At 34.1% G+C, this 20268-nt stretch overlaps 1 protein-coding gene across 3 annotated transcripts in view; it reads right to left on the bottom strand.

Moving 5' to 3' along the window:
• Positions 1-20268, bottom strand: part of BANK1 (B cell scaffold protein with ankyrin repeats 1) — a 284083-nt gene that overhangs the window by 142952 nt on the left and 120863 nt on the right. For all 3 annotated transcript variants that reach the window (NM_017935.5, NM_001127507.3, NM_001083907.3), the window contains one exon: positions 13672-13868. In NM_017935.5, coding sequence (NP_060405.5) covers positions 13672-13868 — 197 coding nt within the window. The remainder of the gene's footprint in view (positions 1-13671; positions 13869-20268) is intronic.

Raw genomic sequence — 20268 nt, 5'->3', positions numbered from 1 at the left:
TGCATATCTCTCACTTCATCTCCAGCCCTCCAGCCCTCTCTCCATGTCAATATTCCACACTCAGTTTCAGCTCCAACAACAAACTGTAACACGATATGATTAAACTAGCATTCAGATTATTTCCTCATCTTGATTTTACCATTGAAAGACTGAGGGAAGAAAATGTCATAGAGATTTAAAATCAAATCAATACTTGTGCTATTCAAAGTTCACCAGAGTAACAGAACCAATAGGATGTACATATGTTATATAGAAAGAGATTAATGATAAGGAACTGACTTTTGCAATTATGGAGACTCGTAAGTCCCCACATCTGCAGCTGGCAAGCTAGAGACCCAGGAAAGCCAATGGTGTGGTTTTAATTTAAGTCCAAAGGCCTGAGAACTAGGAGATCCCATGGTATAGTTCTAGTCCAAAGGCTAGCAGAAGGAAATACAGAAAGGGCTGGTTCTTAAGTTCAAGACCAAAGGCAGGAAAACACAGACATTCCAGTTCAAGGAAAGGTTCCAGTTGTGTTCTATTCAGGCACTCAACTCATTGGATGAAGCTCACTGATATTTGGAAAAGCAATCTGCTTTGCTCAGACTACAAATTTAAATGTTAATCTCATTCAAATTATCCCCACAGAAACACCCAGAATAATGTTTGACCAAATATTTGGGCATCCTGTGGCCCAGGAAAGTAGGTACCTAAAATTAACTATCACAATACTCTTGAGAGTCAATAAAACTGTGGCAATAAAGCAGCCAAAGAACAGAGCAAAGGACAGTGTTAAAAAGTTAGGTACATGACAGCCATAACTAAATTTAACTCAACCTATAAAAACTAGAATTTGGTATTTTCTTTTACTGGATTCTGAGAGGTGCTTTAGTCCATCTGCATAAAACACAGGTAAAACTGAATTTGGACCCAGACTTCCATCTGAATTGAATCCTTTGTGATGTTTAGCAATGATTTTACATAGAAAGATGGTCTGTCAGATTTGCAGTGGGACAAACTGTTAGAGAATATACTAAAAATGGTTAAGTGTGCCTTTTCTAAGTATTAGATGTAATCTAGTGCCATGTTAAAGCATGTAGAGCTACACTGCCTGGGTTCAAAACTCATCTCTACTTATTACCAAATGTGTGACCTTGGGCAAGAACTTAAACACTCTGTGCTTTAGTTTCCTCATTTGTAAAACCTGGATAGTAGGACTGAGCTGTTACAAAGCAGCAAAAACAGATACTAGTACATAGCAAGTACTATAAAATTTTTTGCTAATTTTATTGTTTTTGGATTTTATACTAACATGTTATTTTTTTCCAGAGTACTTAACTACTATCTGATATTTCACTGGCGAATGGCTATGGGGGTAAAGTTAGAATTTTGAAGAAGGACAGATAATAAAGAACACTCCCTCCCTTGTTTATCACTTTCAAATGTGAGCTCATGAGACCAGTGACTTGTCTGTCTTATGTTACTGTAACTGTAACAATACTCAACGAATAGTACATGCCCAATAATTTTAGAAAGAATTTATTCTTTTTATACAATATAAAAGAATGAATAGGTAAATGAATATATATATATTCATATATACACACATAAACACACACACCCACACACAAAGAGAGAATGGGGGAAGGTAGAGAGCATCTACTCAGAGATAGTCACTGCTGAACATGGCAGATACAATGATGAACACACACTCTCATAAAATTTACAGTTCTGTGGGAGAGATATTCAACCAATATCCACATACATATAATTACTATGGAACTATAAACTCTGATATGTTCTCATCAAATTTATAGTCTAATAAAGGAAACATTCTAGATTTGAATTTATTAATATATTAATTATTACATATTAATACCTGATTAGAAGTGTTATGAAGATGTCATGAGAGAAGGAAAAACTAATATTAAATGAATGTTTTATTTATATAACGTGATATTGAGCATGGTGTAACAAATATATCATTATTTCTTGTAACTAGACTTCAATTAAATTTTTTTTACTAATTAAAAAAATTGCAGCATTTATCACTTTCTGAAATTACTTTGTGTGTTTATTCATTTTTAGTCCCCCCCCAACAAACTATTAATACAATATAAGCACCAGGAAGGGTTATCAACATTAGCTGAATGTTGCTAAATGCAATCTCTGGCTACTTTAAATGATTGCAACTTAAATTTTTCTGAGAACTGAAAAACTCCATTGACTTAATAAGTAGAAAGCAGACAAAAAATAAAGGATAGTACATATATTCATTCCCTGAGAAAATGTTACAGTTTAACCCATTTAAGGAGAAAATTTGATAAATATTGTTTCCTACATTCGTTTTGAAAGCCATATACAGTAGAAAAGAGAGAAAAATTCATGTGTCATATAGTTTTTTAAAATTAGAAATGACTTAAGTATTAAAATAATTCACTTTCAAAGTGTTTAAAATATTAAAATTTATTTATGGGAAGTTTTAAAATGGTGATGATAATATTAAAAATGGTGCTGAAGCTTTACAAATCCTAAAGGCCTTTCATACATATAATTTGGACCTTCCAACAATCTGATGTTTCATGAAGTAGATTTTAGAGAGGAGTCAAAGTACAAGGTTCCCTCCTTTCTCCCTCCCTCACCAACAATTCCTAACACATCAGATGTAGACTGAGTGCTTGCTAAATATTTGGGAATTATTATGATAATAGTATAGTGATGAGAGTGATATTTTATTCAGAGGCATTGTATGGACATCAGGTTGAAATGTCAAGAAAAGAACAAAGGAGAAGCCAAAATTGGAAAGAATCATTTGAATCATTACAGAATTCAAGAAGTGAGACCATAAAGTTAGCAGGTTGTTATGAGTAGCCATCTTTTGGAGGCTATTTGGTGGCTTCACAGCTCACTAACTCTCCAACTTGTTAGCCTCAGTTTCTCAAAATGTAAACTAAGTAGAAATTCCTCAGAGGGTGGCAGAGAACATGGAACCAGAGGGTGTGCATAAAGTTTCTAACCCAATCTGGCATATAATGGGCCGTGAACAAATGTTCAGCGCCAGGCGCTGCTCTCCACTCCCACAATGCTATTGTAGTTGCACTGTGGGCTTATTTAGCGACGTGGTCCAATACTGCAGTAATGAACCAGATTGACTGGATAATTGGCATTCTCCCCTTCAAATTCAAGATTGATAGGTTCAATATAAGTCTATGCAGTTACCCATTCTTATAATAGAGAGTTCTCATTAAGGAAATGGATTAATTGGCTTGCTGATATTTTACCAAGAGCCAAATTTGAATAAGTGAACTCGGCAGTACTGAGAAAAGAAAATTAAACACTAACAAAGGGAGAAGTGTTCTTGCTTAGGCTGAAATCTCAGCCACAGGCTCAAATCAGGGATCTGAGTTTACGATTTTTCACTATGAATGGACCTTAATGTCTGACAGATAAAAATGCTCTGATTTTTTTTTCCCTGACAGTTCACTTTCTCCACAAGACACTCATACCAGCTGGAGACTGAATGTTGTCTCCTCCTCTACATTTTCTTGAAGGATTCCAAACCACATGTCAGGAAATGTGTTTCTAAAATAGCATCATGCTTCACTCTTGTTTCCACAAACAGCTAATAAGACGTATTTGGGACAAACTAAATTAGAGCAAAATATTCATCAGAATTGTCCCCAAAGTATCATAGAGCTCATGCTTCATTACAAAATTTATCTTAATCTCTCTCCTCTCCCAGTAAATCATCTTTCCAATATTTGGAAAGGCTTATTATTATGATAACTAATTTTTAAGGAGAAATACATAAATATGCACATACAAATATACATACACATGTTGTTAAATCAAAAATTTGATTATCTGTCCTATCTTAGTTGACCTGTCAGTAGCATTTAATGTGGCTGTCCACTACCTCATCTGTGAAAATCTTTCTTTTACTTGGCATCCAGGTCAATAGATTTCTTGATTCTCTTCCTACCTCAAATGCTGCTCGTTGTTGGCTTTTTCTGTTGGTACTCCCTATAACCTCTACTTCCAAACTTTGGAACATAGTAGGCATTTCAAATTTAACGTGTCCCAAGCCAAACTCCTGATTTTTCTTAACAAACCATTTCTTCATTCAATCTTCCTCATCTCAGTAAATGGCAATTAATTCCATCCTCCGCTTCTACCAACATACTTGGAAATATCAGTAACTACACACTTTCTTTTATATTCCACCACCAAAGTCAGTAAATTCCATTGCCTATACTAAAAAACAATGGCATATTTCAAACCTAACCACTTCTGGTTGTCTTTGCTGCTGTCATCCTAGTGGAAACTAGCATCTTTTTATCATCTATCATCTGGACTATGGGAGTAGTTGCCAGTCAGGTCTTATCTGTCCTTCTTGCCCTGTATGGTCTGTGATCAATATAGTTGTGACTCTGATCAATTTAAATCATATGATGCCTGATATGGTTTGGCTCTTTGTCCCCACCCAAATCTCATCTTGAATTGTAATCCCCATAATCCCCATAATCCCCATATGTCCAGGGTGGGACCAGGTGGGAGGTGATCAGATCATGAGGCAGTTTTCCCCCATGCTGTTCTTGTGAAAGCTAATGAGTTCTCATAAGATCTGATGGTCTTGTAAGTGTTTGACAATTCCTCCTTCTCTCCTTTCACCCGCGGCCATATAAGACGCGACTGCTTCCCCTTCCGCCATGATTGTAAGTTTCCTGGGGTCTCCCCAGTCATGTGGAACTGTGAGTGAATTAAACCTCTTTTCTTTATAAATTACCCAGTTTCCGGCAATTCTTTATAGCAGTGTGTAAACAGACAAATACAATGCCTCTCAGAATTCTCTAATGCCTTTCTCCAAAATACCAAATTCTCATCATTACCTATACAGCCCTACAGATCCGGCCTTACTTATCTTTCTGATGCCATCTAATTACTGTTTCTTTTATTTCTCACTTACTTTGCTTCAGTAACATTGACCAACTGGCTCTTTTGTGGATATCCACATCCTACCAGAGCCTTTGCCCTTGTTGTGCCATTTTCTCTTATTGGAATACCTGTCCATATAAATGCATGAATTTCTCTTTCATAGTTTTAGACAGTTACCAAAAAGTACTCCTCAGTGAATACTTCCCTGACTACTCGTTTCAAAATTGTTCCCCCTCCCATCTCCTTTTACGCACCACTTTATGCAATGTGGTTCTTTCTATTTCTTCCTGGCCTTAAACTTTAATTTCCACTGGACACATTGTATATCTTTATTTATTTATAGTCTTATTTCCCATTAGGGTAGGAGTTTTGGTCTGTTCTGGATTTCCAGTGTTTAGAACAATGCTTGGCACCTAACAGATAGTCAATAAATATTCGTTGAGTCAATCAATCTATTTGTTAAACTAAAATGGAGACTGTTTTCTGGCTTAAGCGAGAGTTGATTAATTTATGTAAAACAAACCCAAAATTTAGCCTTCAACTGGTGCCATTTATTTTCTTTTTATACTGTATTTTTTAGAGGCAGAATAAGTCAATCATAATCTTTACTTTCTCACATCTATATATATATCACAAAGAGAGTGTTGCTACATAAGGAGAAATGAAAAAAATATATTGTTGAGGCTCAGAGCTGTAATATTTGATGAATATTCTTGTTTTTTCATAAGTCTGATTCTTTTCATATGCCTGGAGAGGCCTTTACATGAATTTAAAGTAAAAACCATTTCATGATACTAGTAGAAAAGTATATACCCAATCTACATTGGATTATATTAAATACCCTTTCCTATCTTCAAGAATCAAGAATGATGGAAATTCAAAGCCAGTTAATGGAGAAGAATTTCCAGGAACAATATTTTTCCAATGAAATTTTAATTCAATTGCCTTTGCATATTTTCCTTCTGAAAGGACAATGCCGTGTGTTTATTTCATGAGGGCCACGCTCGACAGATATGGTGTCAATACTGATTGCTTTAATTACCATTAGTGATTAATTTTGCATTCTCTGAAATTGCATTTCCTTTTGACCAGCAGGCATGTAAGTGAGAGCTCTAGGTTACCCTGTTCTACACAAGCTAATTGGTTTGAAAGAAGCCAGAAAAAAATGAAAGAACTAAAGTTTAGAAGGCTTCTGAGAAATCAGAACTCTAAAAATTACAAAAACTTAGGTATCCAAGGGTCTTTAAAGACGATTTAGCCCCCATAGGCAAGGATGTGACTCTTAATAGGATCCTGGAGACTGCCAGCATGTGAAGCAAATGTATAAAAGATAACAAATTACCTATTTAGAATAAGATACTGTTTCAACTTTAAAAAATTATTTAATGATGTATTAAGGATCTCTATTGGAAAAGAACTGTAAGCACATGTATATTATTTCCCTCTATTACTTTCATAAATTGCCTTATCTGTGGGTATTGAATTAATTTTAATGCAATGAGCATAAAAATCATTACCTACTGAGGCATAGGTAATCAAAATCATATCATCACTTGTCCTCATATACCATGATTGCATTCATAGCAGCTATGGCATTTGGTACAATGAAGATAAAAGCAAATATATTATAAATTCTTCTGAACTATATAGCTGTTATATCTAAATTTTCTACCCTAGCTCTGTTCCATATATCTGAGAACAGTGGGAAATGGGCTTAAAGTGTAGATAGAGGGCCTTACCCTAACTCTAAATAATATTTTTTCAAAAGTGAGAATAGATATTCAAATAAATACTACAAGGTAAATCTCATTTAGGAATAAAATTATGATAGCTCCCAAAAACAAGATTCCCTTCTGCCTGGGAAAATAAGATGTGGCTTTTCAGAGTTCAGCTGTTGCTAGGACAAAGTGCCCTCTAAGGTTTATCAAAAGGGTCATTATTCTCAGAAAAATTTTTAACAATAAGTTATTTTTTAAAATACTAATTATTCAATTGAGGGAAGTTATGAAGTAAAGGAGTTAATAGATCTTGGAATAAAAAGGATAACAAATGTCTACATTATGAAAAATGTGTGTCTCCTGTTTTTATGAGAATATAACATTTCTGATATAAAAAACCTGAGTGATGAATATAATACATTATGCTTATTCGAGAAATTGGAAATACAAATCACACACTATATTCATTTTACAAAACCTCTATTTTGTTGAATTTTAGGGCTAATTTATCTTTTGGTGATGTAAATTGATAATGCAATAATCTGTTTATGTGTCTGAGTTGTAAGAAACGTTCAAGGACTATTCAGATATTTTACTCATCTTGCTTTTCCCAGTGATGCCTGCTCCCCTTCCCAACGCACCGCCAAATGATTATACTGCTGTGGAGGCTAGCTGTACATCATCCTGACCCTTTCTGCTTCTGTTTCCTACTCTGCTGAGGCAGAGTAATGAATGAGAACCCAGGAAAGCTTTTAAAAAACTATATTCTGTGTATATGGAAAGAGAGTGTACAGACACTGATTGCTATTCTAGCAACTTTATGAAAATATAAATCATTTATTACATAGCAAAACACTGAGAAAACAGCGGCTGTGACATCTGAGAATAGTTATTCCTGAGAATTACAAATGGGGTTTTTGCTTTACTCTGTTAAACCAAACTAACATGATTTCTGGGAGAAAGAGATTACTTTAAGCAGTCTCACACACTGGGCTTAGTAGACATGAGAAATCTCTTTCCTAATGAACATTCTACTGATGAATAGCCTAAGGACAGTTTTTCTAAATAATATATTACATCTCATAAAATTAATTTGGGAAATTTATTTTTACAGATTTTTCTATTTGAATCTAGTTATATCATACACGTTGCATTAAGCATACAACCTGTGCAAAGCGTGTAAATAAATAATTAAAAATCAAGTATTTTCTTACAGTATGAGTAGGCAAAAATACCGCAAACAACTAGGTTTTTATGTACTTACCATTAAGTTGTGTATGAGCTCTTTGGGGCTCTACAAACATTTCTTAGTATATATTTTACCAAAATCCCATATCAAATGTTAAGTTTTCTTTTAATAGATGCATAGTCTTTTGTAGGTCATTATCATAAGTTAAAAAACAATATGCATTCTATGAAAAAAAGTCAATAACAAGATTTGGTTTTCTGGCCTAAGAAGTCAGAGTTTACCTACTCTGCCTTCTTCACACAACTGCACATCCCATTTCTTTCACCATATGCATCCTTCACCTTTCCCATTAAGTGCTTATTTAAAATCCTGTTTATAAATTTTCTTCTGCTTCACACAAATTCCACATGATTTCATTTGTTCCAGCTATGACACTGCCTTTTAATCACAAGTGAAGAGAGTGCAGAAAGAACCTTTCCTGATGGGGAAGACAAGAAAGTCACAAGGGGTCAGTGGACCTTCAGAAAGAGGGCAGGGTCAAAGAAAGCAATGTCAAAGGTTGTGCCAAAAGATGTCTGAAAGAAATCCACTGGATCTGATACATGGTTGATTATTTATGGCTTTTGACAGAGCAGCTTTAGTAGTGAGCTAAATGCAAAGCACACACACACACACATATATATATATAGTCTTTAAACAATACAAAACTATATGTCTATGTAAAGCATGTACATATATATTCTTGAAACACTTTTTCAGGGAAGAGTCAGTATAATGAGAGAGATTAATGATGCAAGAAAAGAGAAGGTATGATTGACAGTGAAGTCTAAATTTGATATGAATAACAATAAGCCAACAGAAAATAAGGTGAATGCAATATTTTTTGTGGGTCTTCTATATATTTAATAATTTTACATTCATTTCATCAAATCCTAAAGTGCTCTATGAGGAATTATTTTTTCCAAGGATGCAAACTTAGTTTTTGATGAAGTTAGGTTTAAAATCCAGACCTGGCTGAATTCCAAGACTCTAGGAGTAAAGGAAAATGGAAAATTTGACAATAAAGCAAAAAGATTTAAGGGAGTTTACATAGCATGTTTAGAGCTGCAGAGTTAGGGCATCAAAACTGGGTCTGAGGACTTGGAGAAGAGAAAAATTCTGTGATAGCCAGATTTTTGAAAGAGATTCCCAAGTAGTTTCAAGCACAAAACTGACACATAAATTTATAATGCATGCAGTCAAATGCAATTATGTGACTTATTCTAGTTTCTTCAATTCTAACAGAACAGAACATCAATATTGAATAAAAGCCAGAATTCCAAAATTCATACTAGTTGGGCCTATTAAAATATATGCTGAAGACAAGCAGTAGGGCTGTCTATGAAGTCTCCGAAACTAAACTTTAAAAAAATTCCAAGTATAGGAAATATGACCAATTATTTTATTTACCATATGGGACCTAGTTAAGTATATGATTGGGAAAGTGAAATAAGACAAGTCTTTCAATTGGACACCAACCTTCTGTACCATCAACGAGAAAAATACATGCTGAGCACCTTTAGTGTACCTGATGGTGGGAGGGGAGGAGAGCCCACTATCCATCACAAGCTTCCAGACTTATAAGAAAGGAAAAACTACATAAGCAAAGCAGGATATGCTGCCATTTAAACTAAATTATATAACATGGATATATACTGAATTAAATGGAACAATCTACTTGTAAAATACTGAGAGGGCAATGCTGAGAATGAGAGAAATAAAGAGCCAGGAAGAGTGAATGTTTACTAGCCTAAACACAAAACCTAACTTCTGAGTAATTGGTTCTCTATATTACCCAGTCAATTATTGCTTTATATTAGGGATATTGTAAATGCTTCAACACCTACCCCTCCATACCTGTATTTTAAACCCAAGCCCTTGACTATCTGAAAAAGATTAGGGCCTGTCAGTCAGATACTGGAGGGCAACAAAATCTCTCTGTCTCACACACACACACACACACACACACACACACACACACACACACACACGGGCCCAGTGTCCACAGGGACAAAGAGCAGTGTAGGGATAGATTAAGGAGAGCCTGATGCCACAGGAATCCCATCGCACACATGAGCAATAGAAAGATTCCCAATCAGGAGTACTTCTGAAAAGCCAGTTAGAGAATGTGCATGGAAAGCTGATTTTCCCATTTCTTAAATTTTCTTCATCAATATTTATAATTAACAACTTATTATATTCATGAAGAAAATTTAAGATACTTAAATATTTAAACCAAACTACAAGTGAACACAGTGGTGGAAGGAAAAAGATATTTTCTGGATATTGTTTCTAAGATAAGTGAACACCTGTCTCCAATTCCATAGCTGGCCAACGAGGAGAATGTACTTTTCCTTGTCTATTTACACATTGATGTAATCATTTTGTTAAGGGTTCTAAACGGATGGGAATGGATGGGGTGACATATGTGAGCTAATACAAGCAAATATTATTTATATCTGTTTGCTTAAAGTACAGACTAGTCTTGTACACTTTATCTTAAATCTCAAAGCACCTCAATCTGAGGCCAAGTTCCAGTTTGTTTTCAACTTTTCATGCACGTTTTATTTAAGAGATAAGTTTCTGAAGGCTGAATCAATCATCAATGTCACTATTTACTATTTAAAATGTCCTGGGCTTTCCTTATGAATAATGCTAAGCAAATCGTTGTTCATACGCAGTTGTGAATTTAAGTACCAAATCTTTTGCCATTTTCCCATTTACTTTTCATATTAATTCTCTCAGGTGATATTGTTAGAAACTGAAAAATGAGTAGATATTTGAAATACTTTATGGATTATAGAAATATATGATATTATTATCCAGTAATAGCACTGAAAACATAAATGAAGTACAGATGTTAATTACATAACTTTATCAAAACATGAAAGCTATTCATTCATAATGAAGAGGCTCTATTCATAGACTGTGTATAAATTATTAACCTCTCAAATAAAAAATGTCATGAAGCAATGTAAGAAATGTGATTTCAGGCCCCCTTCTTCTCCTACTCTCCTCCTTCTCTCCTTTCTCTTCCTCCCCTCCTTCCTCATTCTTCTCTTTATCTTCATCCTCCTCCTTCATATACCTAACAATAAGACATGGTGCCACTTGGTTTATGAATGCTTGCTAATGCTTTTGTGTTTTCTCTGTATTTTTCTAAAATCATAATTTCTTTTTTCCTTCTACCCACTTTATTTAGTGATGACCCAAATCACTGTATTGTAACTCCCTGTGAAATTCTAAAATGAGCAATGTTTTATTGATGGGGGATTAGGAAGTACTGAGCAAATCAGTAAATTAGTTAGGAGCAAAATATGTTGGAATTTAAAAATAGATATTTCTTCAGTAGAAGTGTAGTCCACTAGTAGATTGTAAACCTCAAACTTAAAAATATCTGCTCCTTTAAACTATTCTGAAACAATAGTTCATGAAAAATTTGAATGCATTTGTGAGGATCTTAGATTTATCAGAATCTAAGTCATTATAACACTGAAGTGATATAGAGGCTTTTAAAGCAACAGTAAAGTATTTTAGTAGTATAATGAGATTCCATTTTTCTCCATCAGGTTTACATACACTCTTTAAAAGACTTAAATAACAGTATTTAGAATAGATAGTGTCTTTTTTATTATACTTTAAGTTCTAGGGTACATGTGCACAACACACAGGTTTCTTACATATGTATACATGTGCCATGTTGGTGTGCTGCACCCATTAACTCATCATTTATATTAGATATATCTCCTAATGCTATCTCTGCCCCCTCCTACAACCCCATGACAGGCCCTGGTGTGTGATGCTTCCCTTCCTGTGTCCAAGGGTTCTCACTGTTCAATTCCCACCTACGGGTGAGAACATGCGGTGTTTGGTTTTTTGTCCTTGCGATAGTTTGCTGAGCATGATGGTTTCCAGCTTCATCCATGACAGTGTCAACATATGGTTATCTAGCATACCTTCACTCAGAAGATATGACTTCCAAATTTATTTTAGATAAAATTGATAATTAGAAGAATAATTTATGTGTCATATAAATTGACAGGAAACATTTTTCCATGAGGGTCAAAATATAATACATATGTTTCATTTTCTTAACTACACATTTGCAAAAAGGCCTTCGTAGCTTGCAAAATTATTGTATATAAAATTATCCATGGTCATGAAAACGCATTGACAGATCTGTTGGCACTTGCAACAGCTACAGTCAATTCCTTACTGACAGCAGAACATTCACAAAATAATTGATCTATCTTAACTATAATGGTAACATTTACTGTAGACATTCAGGCAGAAATAACAGCTTACAAAGATACTATAGAAAATTATGTAACATATTTCACACAAGAATTATCAAGTATAACTGTAAAATTAGAATGCAGCGACTACGAAAAAGTGATTGTCACCTAGATACAATGATAGCAATCAAATTCTATCAGTGCTGTTATTGCAGGAGCAGAGGTATAAATACTGAGAGGGTGTAAGAGAAAAAAAATTATATCCCACATCCATCAAACCTCATATCCTACCATTGTACTTACTTTCATATCTACTGTCATCATTATGTATTATTTTGTTACTTATGGAGCACCTGAAGTGTGCATGGGGTTGAATCTGTCAAAAGCTGAGTCTTTACTGGAGAGCAAGAAGTGGAAGAATGACTTTTTGAAAATCAGGGATTATTTTAGAAAGCATCCCTAGATGCTAGGACTTCCAGGGAAAATTTTAACCCAGTGTACCAGTGGCTAAAAATTAAAGACTAGAGTTGTATAGAGTTAAAGACAGGCAACTAAAATGTATTAAATAACAGTATTAATGGAAAATATCCAAGGCTGAATTGACTTACTGACTTACCCCAGATAGATACCATGCTGCCCTATTCAATGCCTGCATACAGTGAACAATTATGAAAATGAATGCCCTCATCAGATAAAGAATGATAACTAGTTAAAAACTAGCATATATGACAATCACTGTCTAAAATCCTTCCAGCAATAAAAATAATGGTTATTTCTGATTTGAAGGACATAAGACAAAAAATTAGTAGTTTATTAATTTTATCATAATACTTCATGTGCTATATTTATTTTAAATATACTCTCTGGAAATCTCAAATACCAATGATTGTTTCTGAAGTCCAATATTAATTAGATTGGCTTAATCTGACAATCAGAATAAATGCCAAAATAGCCAGAAGCTTACAGGATTTACATATTCTATATCAACTCTTCCTTGACAACAAAATTATTTGTTTTAAATACTCAGGGACAAATTTTGATAATTTATCAGCATAATCATTGTCCCATTATATTTTCCAAAGAGCCATCAGAGTATAATTCACTTTCTGGAGCAAAATGTGCATATCTTTGTTACAACCAGAAAAACAATTGCTTTTCTAAACATGATTATGGAAACACAAAGTGTGTTTTATGTACTGAGATAGTATCCCCTCCTTCTTAAAATCTTCTTTGGTTACATTCTTACAAAACTAACATTCTTCAAAAAGTGTTCTGAAATTTGGGGCTTCAACCTTCATAAGACAGAACTGGGACTTAACAGGGAGAAGGAGAAGGAATCACTTAAGGAAAACAAATTTAAGCAACATAAATTAACTTTTTATTGGGTAGACTTTTTGAATTATTATCAAATTGTTTTTCTGCAACCTAACGATTATTGATATGTTTTCATGTGCCTAATAGTGCCTTAACTAGAGTCTTAAAGAAAACGGTAAAGGTAATAGGTTTTTTCTTCTTACAGTCTCTTCTACAATATCAAACAGAATATACAGAGATATAATTTAAAAAAAAAACTTACTGAAAAGTCTTCGAAGATTTTCTTGAGTTCTTTGTGACCATGCCTTTCAGCAATATGTGCGGGGTCTGAACCCTCCATATTTTTCATCTTAGATGCCCAGGTTGCTCCTGAACATTGAAGCAAATGAATAGCCAGGTTCTTTAAGCCAAATTTTGCTGCACAGTGGAGAAGAGTTGGAAGTTCTTTGAAATGAGTATCTGTAAGCATAAGAAGTAGTAGGATTTAATGTTTTCATTTTATTGGCAATCTCATTAAAAGGTCTAACACAATCTGCTCCTAAAAGTAATTCCCATAAAGCACAGCAGACTTTTTGTGTAAGAAACTATCAATAGTTCTAGAAATTTAGAATCTTCCCCTCGCTCAATTACCTATATTAAAATAAATATAAACTAATATTCTCACTAGCATTAATGCACCAATCTTACTTGTGAGGTAAGTTTAATTTAAAAAGCCACATCAACCTCTTAAATGAAAAAAAAAGAAAGAAAAACATGCTGTAATAACTCCTTTTGAATGTACTTAGACATTAACCAAACGCTAAATAACGAAATTCTGCAAGTTCATCTATAAAATAATTTTATATTCTACCTCCTTGCCTAGTTTGCTTCCTTCCAAAGTTGAAATGAACATGAAATTCTTTGAGGGGTTATATTAGATTTCTATATAAAATTTTTCTTTCAAAAACTAACTGCATCAGAAAATACAGGTGAGTGCTTTCATAAATAACTTCAGTGTGGAAATTTCCATCTGGATTTTACAACTTTTTTATCAATGTCTTAGAGTTTGATTTTTCATAATTATTAACTATCAATTAGAAGATATTTATTAATTTTATATCACTGTAAAATGATGAATGCAACCTGTATCCCAATGACAAACAAAATAAAACACAAATGAATGATGGTTTGTTATTATTCTATACTTTTGCACTTAGCTGAGAAAAAGTTATAGAAATTACACACCAACATAATAGCTGTGGCATTATCAGAAGTAAGGTGAAGTCTTATAGCCACAGAATCAAAGGAATCAAAACCAAAGTCAACTGTCTTCCAGCAAACTTTTAAAGCAATGGAAAACAGCCATCTCATTGCTTTTTTGAAAACTGTCAATTTGCTTTAATCATCTTAGTTCATACACTATGTAGTTATTTTCTTAAATGCACACATTTACTTTGCAAACAATTTACAGTCTCACTTGTTAGGTTAAAATAATAGATTTGTTTAGGAGATACAATAAACGTTTAGCATGTGTTTAATCTACAGTGTACATTTGTTTCATTTCATGGCAATTTTCATTTAATTAATCTAGATTAACTGCATCTGTTTTTATTACCAAGGTGTAAATAGAGAAGCCATAATTCAAACCAAGGTGTGGCAAATTTACTTTTCATTTTCTTCTAGACCAGATACATTTTTAGTTTTCAGTTGTTTCAGCCAATGTCTTTCAAACAGTAATTTCATGAGAATAGAATAAAATGTCTGGGGGAAATTTTTTAAAGAGAAGTCCAATGTCACTTGTTTTACAAATACAAATAAACAGGTGAATTAGCACATAGCAAAGAAATCAAGTCATACATTTGTTTGTGCAGAGTTGCTCCTAAACTTTCTGAGGCAGTCTCTACAAAGATGGCTGATAATTAAATTGAAGTAATCAAACCAACGATTTCAAAAGATTAACCTAGCTCACTAGAATAATAAAATGAAAATATACTCAAGTTTAGAATATAAGCATTAAACAAGAATTTAACAGTAAGATGAGTATTAAAACTGGAAATTCATGACCATGCAATCCATTTGTTCTCATAAATCATTATCTGGAATAGTAAATATTCATTCAGAGTAGAATGACCACTTTGGGGTGGCTACTTTGGGGCAAAACAATAAAGCACACAATAAAGAGAAGATTAAAAATCAGGAAATCTGCATTCTAATCCCAGCTCAGCCACTAAATCTGTGGTTCTTAAGAATTCATCTTGTGGACCTCAGTTTCCTAATTTATGAAATGAAAGGGTTGGGGGTCAAAATTATAGAACTTCTGATATTCTTCTGGGCTTGATGCCATGTCACAAATGCTTTAAGCCAAGAAACTCTCTGGAAGGTAATTTTTCCTGGGTTTTAATCAGACACCAATTAGAGTAGGGAAGGTAGCTGAAAAGTTGAAGAAACAACAATTTTCATTCCTTTCATAATAGTATTTGAAATCTGATGAAATGTTATTATTTCTGTGGATCTGTAAAAACAGAGCATTGCTGTGTTTATGAAACCTTTTGCTCTCTGACAGGAGAACCATTATATAACATGTGAGGTGTTACTCTTCCAATCCTGTCAAAAGATTAGACATATAATTCTATTTGGAATTTTAAGAAACAAAAAAATGCTGCCAAGGTTATCATGCTTCTAAAACCTTGATAATGTAAACAAAATGCACAAAGGAAATAGTCCATCAAAGCCCTATGCTACAGTTTTGTTGTTACCTCTCATATTACATAAAATATCGTAGTGGAAAATTCACAAGTAGATACATACTTTACTATTAAACTCAATATTGAATCTACCTCATTAACTGTTGTAATTGAATTCTTGTTACTAAAATATTCTCTTAAATAAGAGAAAAAATTAGAATTTACATCTACTTGGTATTTCTCTTGTTAATTGTCTCAAGAAACTTCATACAAGATACTCTGTCTTTCAAATGTTTTAGTTGAATAGGTTATGTCCTAATCTGCATAATATTCAAATGAGTCTTAATTTCTTCTTGCTAAATAAACTTCAAAATAATGCCTTTTATTACTTAAATACCAAAATTCTAAAACTTAATATTTATCTTTCATGAGAAGCAATATAGTGTAGCACTTAAGCATTAGGACTTTGGAGCCAGATTGTATGCATTAAACCTATAAAATTTAATTTAATTCTAGTATTTAGTCATAGTGTCATTTGCACAAGCTACTTGAACTTATGCATCTTATTTTTCTCAATATTCAATTGGTGACCATAACATCTACTCAATCGGTTATTAAACCTATGTCCAATGTATTCTTCCATGCAAATAAGTACTGTTGGTCCTCATTATTTGGGAATTCTGTTTGTGCAAATTCATTTACTCACAAAATTTGTTTGTAACACCTTAAGGCACTTTCCCAGTCATTTGCAGACATATGTATAGCAATGAAAAATTTGAGTCACCCAAAGCACACATTCCCAGCTGGGGTCAAACAAGGCAACCATATGCCTTCTTATTTCAGCTCTCAAACTGTAAACAAATGTCCTGTTTGCAGTCCATTTGGTGCCACAACTGTCACAGTTTTTGTGGTTTATTTTGGTGAATTAGCTGTTTAAAATGGCCCCCAAGTACAGTGCTGAAGTGCTGTGTAGTATTTCTAAGCACTTGAAAGCAGTGGCATGCCTTATGGAGAAAATATATGTATTAGATAAATTCATTCAGGCCTGAGTTACAGTGTTGATGGTGAGTTCACTTTGAATCAACAGTGTATATTAAATAAGGTATTTTTAAACAGAAACACACATAAAGCAAGGTTATGTATCAATTGGTTGATCAAAACATTGTGACCAGAAGCTCACAGGAACCTAACCCTATAACTCTCCTAGGAGCAAAGGTTCAGCATTGACTTATTCGATTACTTTATAGAACATAACTACTGCAAATAATGAGAATCAAGTGCATTTTAAAGCAATCTAGAGGCCCCTTTTAATTTTGGAGAGGGAGTTCAAAATTGGTTTCCCATTGCAGCATGGCCAGTTATTTTCTGACTTACGGTGCCTTATTTTCTTTGCTCCTCCATACACTCAGGGAGGCTCTGAGAGAAGCTATGGCCCCTGTGTACTGCTCCTCGGGGTGAGGCCAGAAAAGCTGTGGAGCTGGGGGAGGCAACTGTGACCATTCAAGTCTATGACTTATGAGAGCTTCTCCCGGGCTATCTCTGTGTTCTGGGCCCACTCAGTTAAAATCCAAACTGGGAATGGTTAGAATCCACTTCCACAACCATCTTGCAAGTAGAAAGAAAGAGCAGTTCTAGAGCCTTGATTCTCTGTTGTTTATTCTTATTGTCAGGCATAGACAAACAACAGGAAAAACTTGGGATAAAGATGAATAGTTACTCTGTTGTTCTCAGATAATTTCTTTGAAAGACTGTACATTTGAAAATTTTTGATAGAAATTCTTCATTTTGTTGAATTGTACGCTTAAGATTTGAAAGTTTTGTAAAATTGTAAAAATTGAGTTCTAGAATGTCAATATTCTGTCATCCAAAGCACCTGCATGATGAGTTGACAAGTATGAGAAATAAATGGAGCATGTCATCTCAAACCCAGAAGGGACTCATTGCTTTCTGAATATCCTAGTGGATGGAATTCACCCTAAAATTAGCAGCAGTAATGATAGGAGGAGGAGGAAAAGGAAGAAGAAAATATAGTGGTTAACAAATGGAATTGGAGAGGTGGGGGTTTCAGGTACCTAGTGGCAGATTGAGCAAGAGAAGAGCAACAGAACAAGGATGTGGCAGGTGGCGAAAGATGCTCTGATTTCAGAAAAAGAGTCTTTGAGGACACACTATGAAGTGCCTTCTTATCTAGGGCTGTGGGCTAGGGATCGCCAGAGAGAAGTAGGCAATGAGCAAAACAAGGTTGAAGCAGGGCTTAAGGCCACAGACAAACAGCCTGGGAGCTTGCGGTCCATGTGTGGAGGTAATTCTAGGAAGCAAAGGGAGATGTGAAGTGTTTGTTAGAGGTTTCTAGAATTGACATCAAATAAAATTAAATCTCACAATATTTAAATACGTTTATTTTCCATTTTCTACTAGAAAACCCAGACAATGTTAAGGCAATAAAAAGAGCTGGACAGTTTCCTGTTTATCCAATCCATCCAATCTGTAGCTAAACTCTGGTTAAAATAAGAAGCCTCTAGAAATTTTATTTCTATACAAATGTGTTTGCATTCTTTTCCTCTACATTCATTAAAAAAAATTCCTTTTGAAAATTACCAACTTTGTCTCTGCTGTGTCTTGACAAGACAAGAACCAAGAACCAGGAAAAGATCCAGGAAAAGTTGAACAGTAAAAGTGCACAAACCAGATGGGCTGGGTTGGGATCAGATGGTTGGGCACTCTAGCACAGGGCCATGGCTTACAGGTAGAATGCTACCTATTGGCCTTTATATGGGTTTCACACAGACATTCAAGAAATCAGGGCCACAAAGCAGTAAATCAACATGTCGGCCAAGGAAACTTTACTTCATTAGTAAGGACTATTTCAGCATTTTAAAAGGAATTCCTTTTAGTCTTGAGCACTGGAGTCATTCTTTTAAAATATTAAATGATTTGATAATAAAATGCACAAAGACAAGGAAGTAAATCTAGGAAATCTTTTGGGCAGTAAAAGGAGTGGGGAGAACTTAAGACGCCTTTGGAAGCACTGCCATATGTATTATAGGGACAAAATGAAAATGGAATATGAGAATGATTAGGGAAACCCCTAAGTGCCAACCTGCCCTGCATATTTCAGACCTGCCAATATTTATATTTTATATTTATTTATATATTTATTAATATATATTATGTATATATTTAATAATTTAATCTATATATTCAATACATATTTTATATATATGTTATAGAGATTTATTATAGATAATATGTATTTCTATGAACCTATCTCTATCTATCTTTCAACACACATATACACACACATTTTATTGGTTTCTCTTGAGAACCGTGACCAATACAGTGAGGCAGATGCTGTGGCGGCTTTGGCAAACCATAACTTACAGAAAGAAGGCATAAAAACAAGTTCTACATCTAAGTCTCTTTCCTTTTCAGAATAATGTAATGTGAGTTTTCAAACCTTAAGATTTTTAAAAATAACTATTTGGTAATGGCAGAATCCAGTAAGCAAATGGGTCCTTTTAGAAAGGGGAGGGAGGTGTTTTTAGGGTGGATTAATAATAGAGTGTGGTATACAGTGGTTTCTGAACCTCTCTAGAATTTCAAAGAATTTCAGACGTTTGAGGATCATTACTACATAACAACTGCAAAAGTAAGAGGAAGTTTCCTAAGTCATAACTTATTCAAGACATTAATTAAAAAGCCCATTCTGCCCTACCTCCTCTGTGTGTGTGTGTATGTGTGTGTGTGTTTCTAATTGAGGCCAACCCATGCATATTTTCCTAATTAAAATGAATGGATATTAGAGAGCCTATTTCCTGTTATCAGTTACTAATAGATACTATTTATGTTTCTTTTCCTAACTCTATAATTATAGATGCTTATTACTGTTGACCCTGAAAAACCTACAATTTGTGTGTTGGTCCAGAGAAGACAAACATATGTGCCTTGGTACTTGAGCACAGACAGTTCAGTGCAGCATATTCAGAAGGCACACATGCCAATTTTTCATTCTGCTAATAGCAGATGCCATGAATAAGAAGAACAAAATAAAATGAAAAACAAAACCATGACAATCTAAATTGCTGCCTTAGTCCAACAAACAAGAATCATTTTATTTGGGGAGCTCAAATATTAATAATTTGTATCTATTGATACCAGGGTTTTATTTTAGTCTATGGTTAACCTGGTTACCATTA

The sequence above is a fragment of the Homo sapiens genome, chromosome 4 (assembly GCF_000001405.40).
Source record: "Homo sapiens chromosome 4, GRCh38.p14 Primary Assembly".
NCBI lineage: Eukaryota > Metazoa > Chordata > Mammalia > Primates > Hominidae > Homo > Homo sapiens.
The sequence above is the reverse complement of the archived record's forward strand: the minus strand, read 5'-3'. Positions and strand labels throughout refer to the sequence as shown.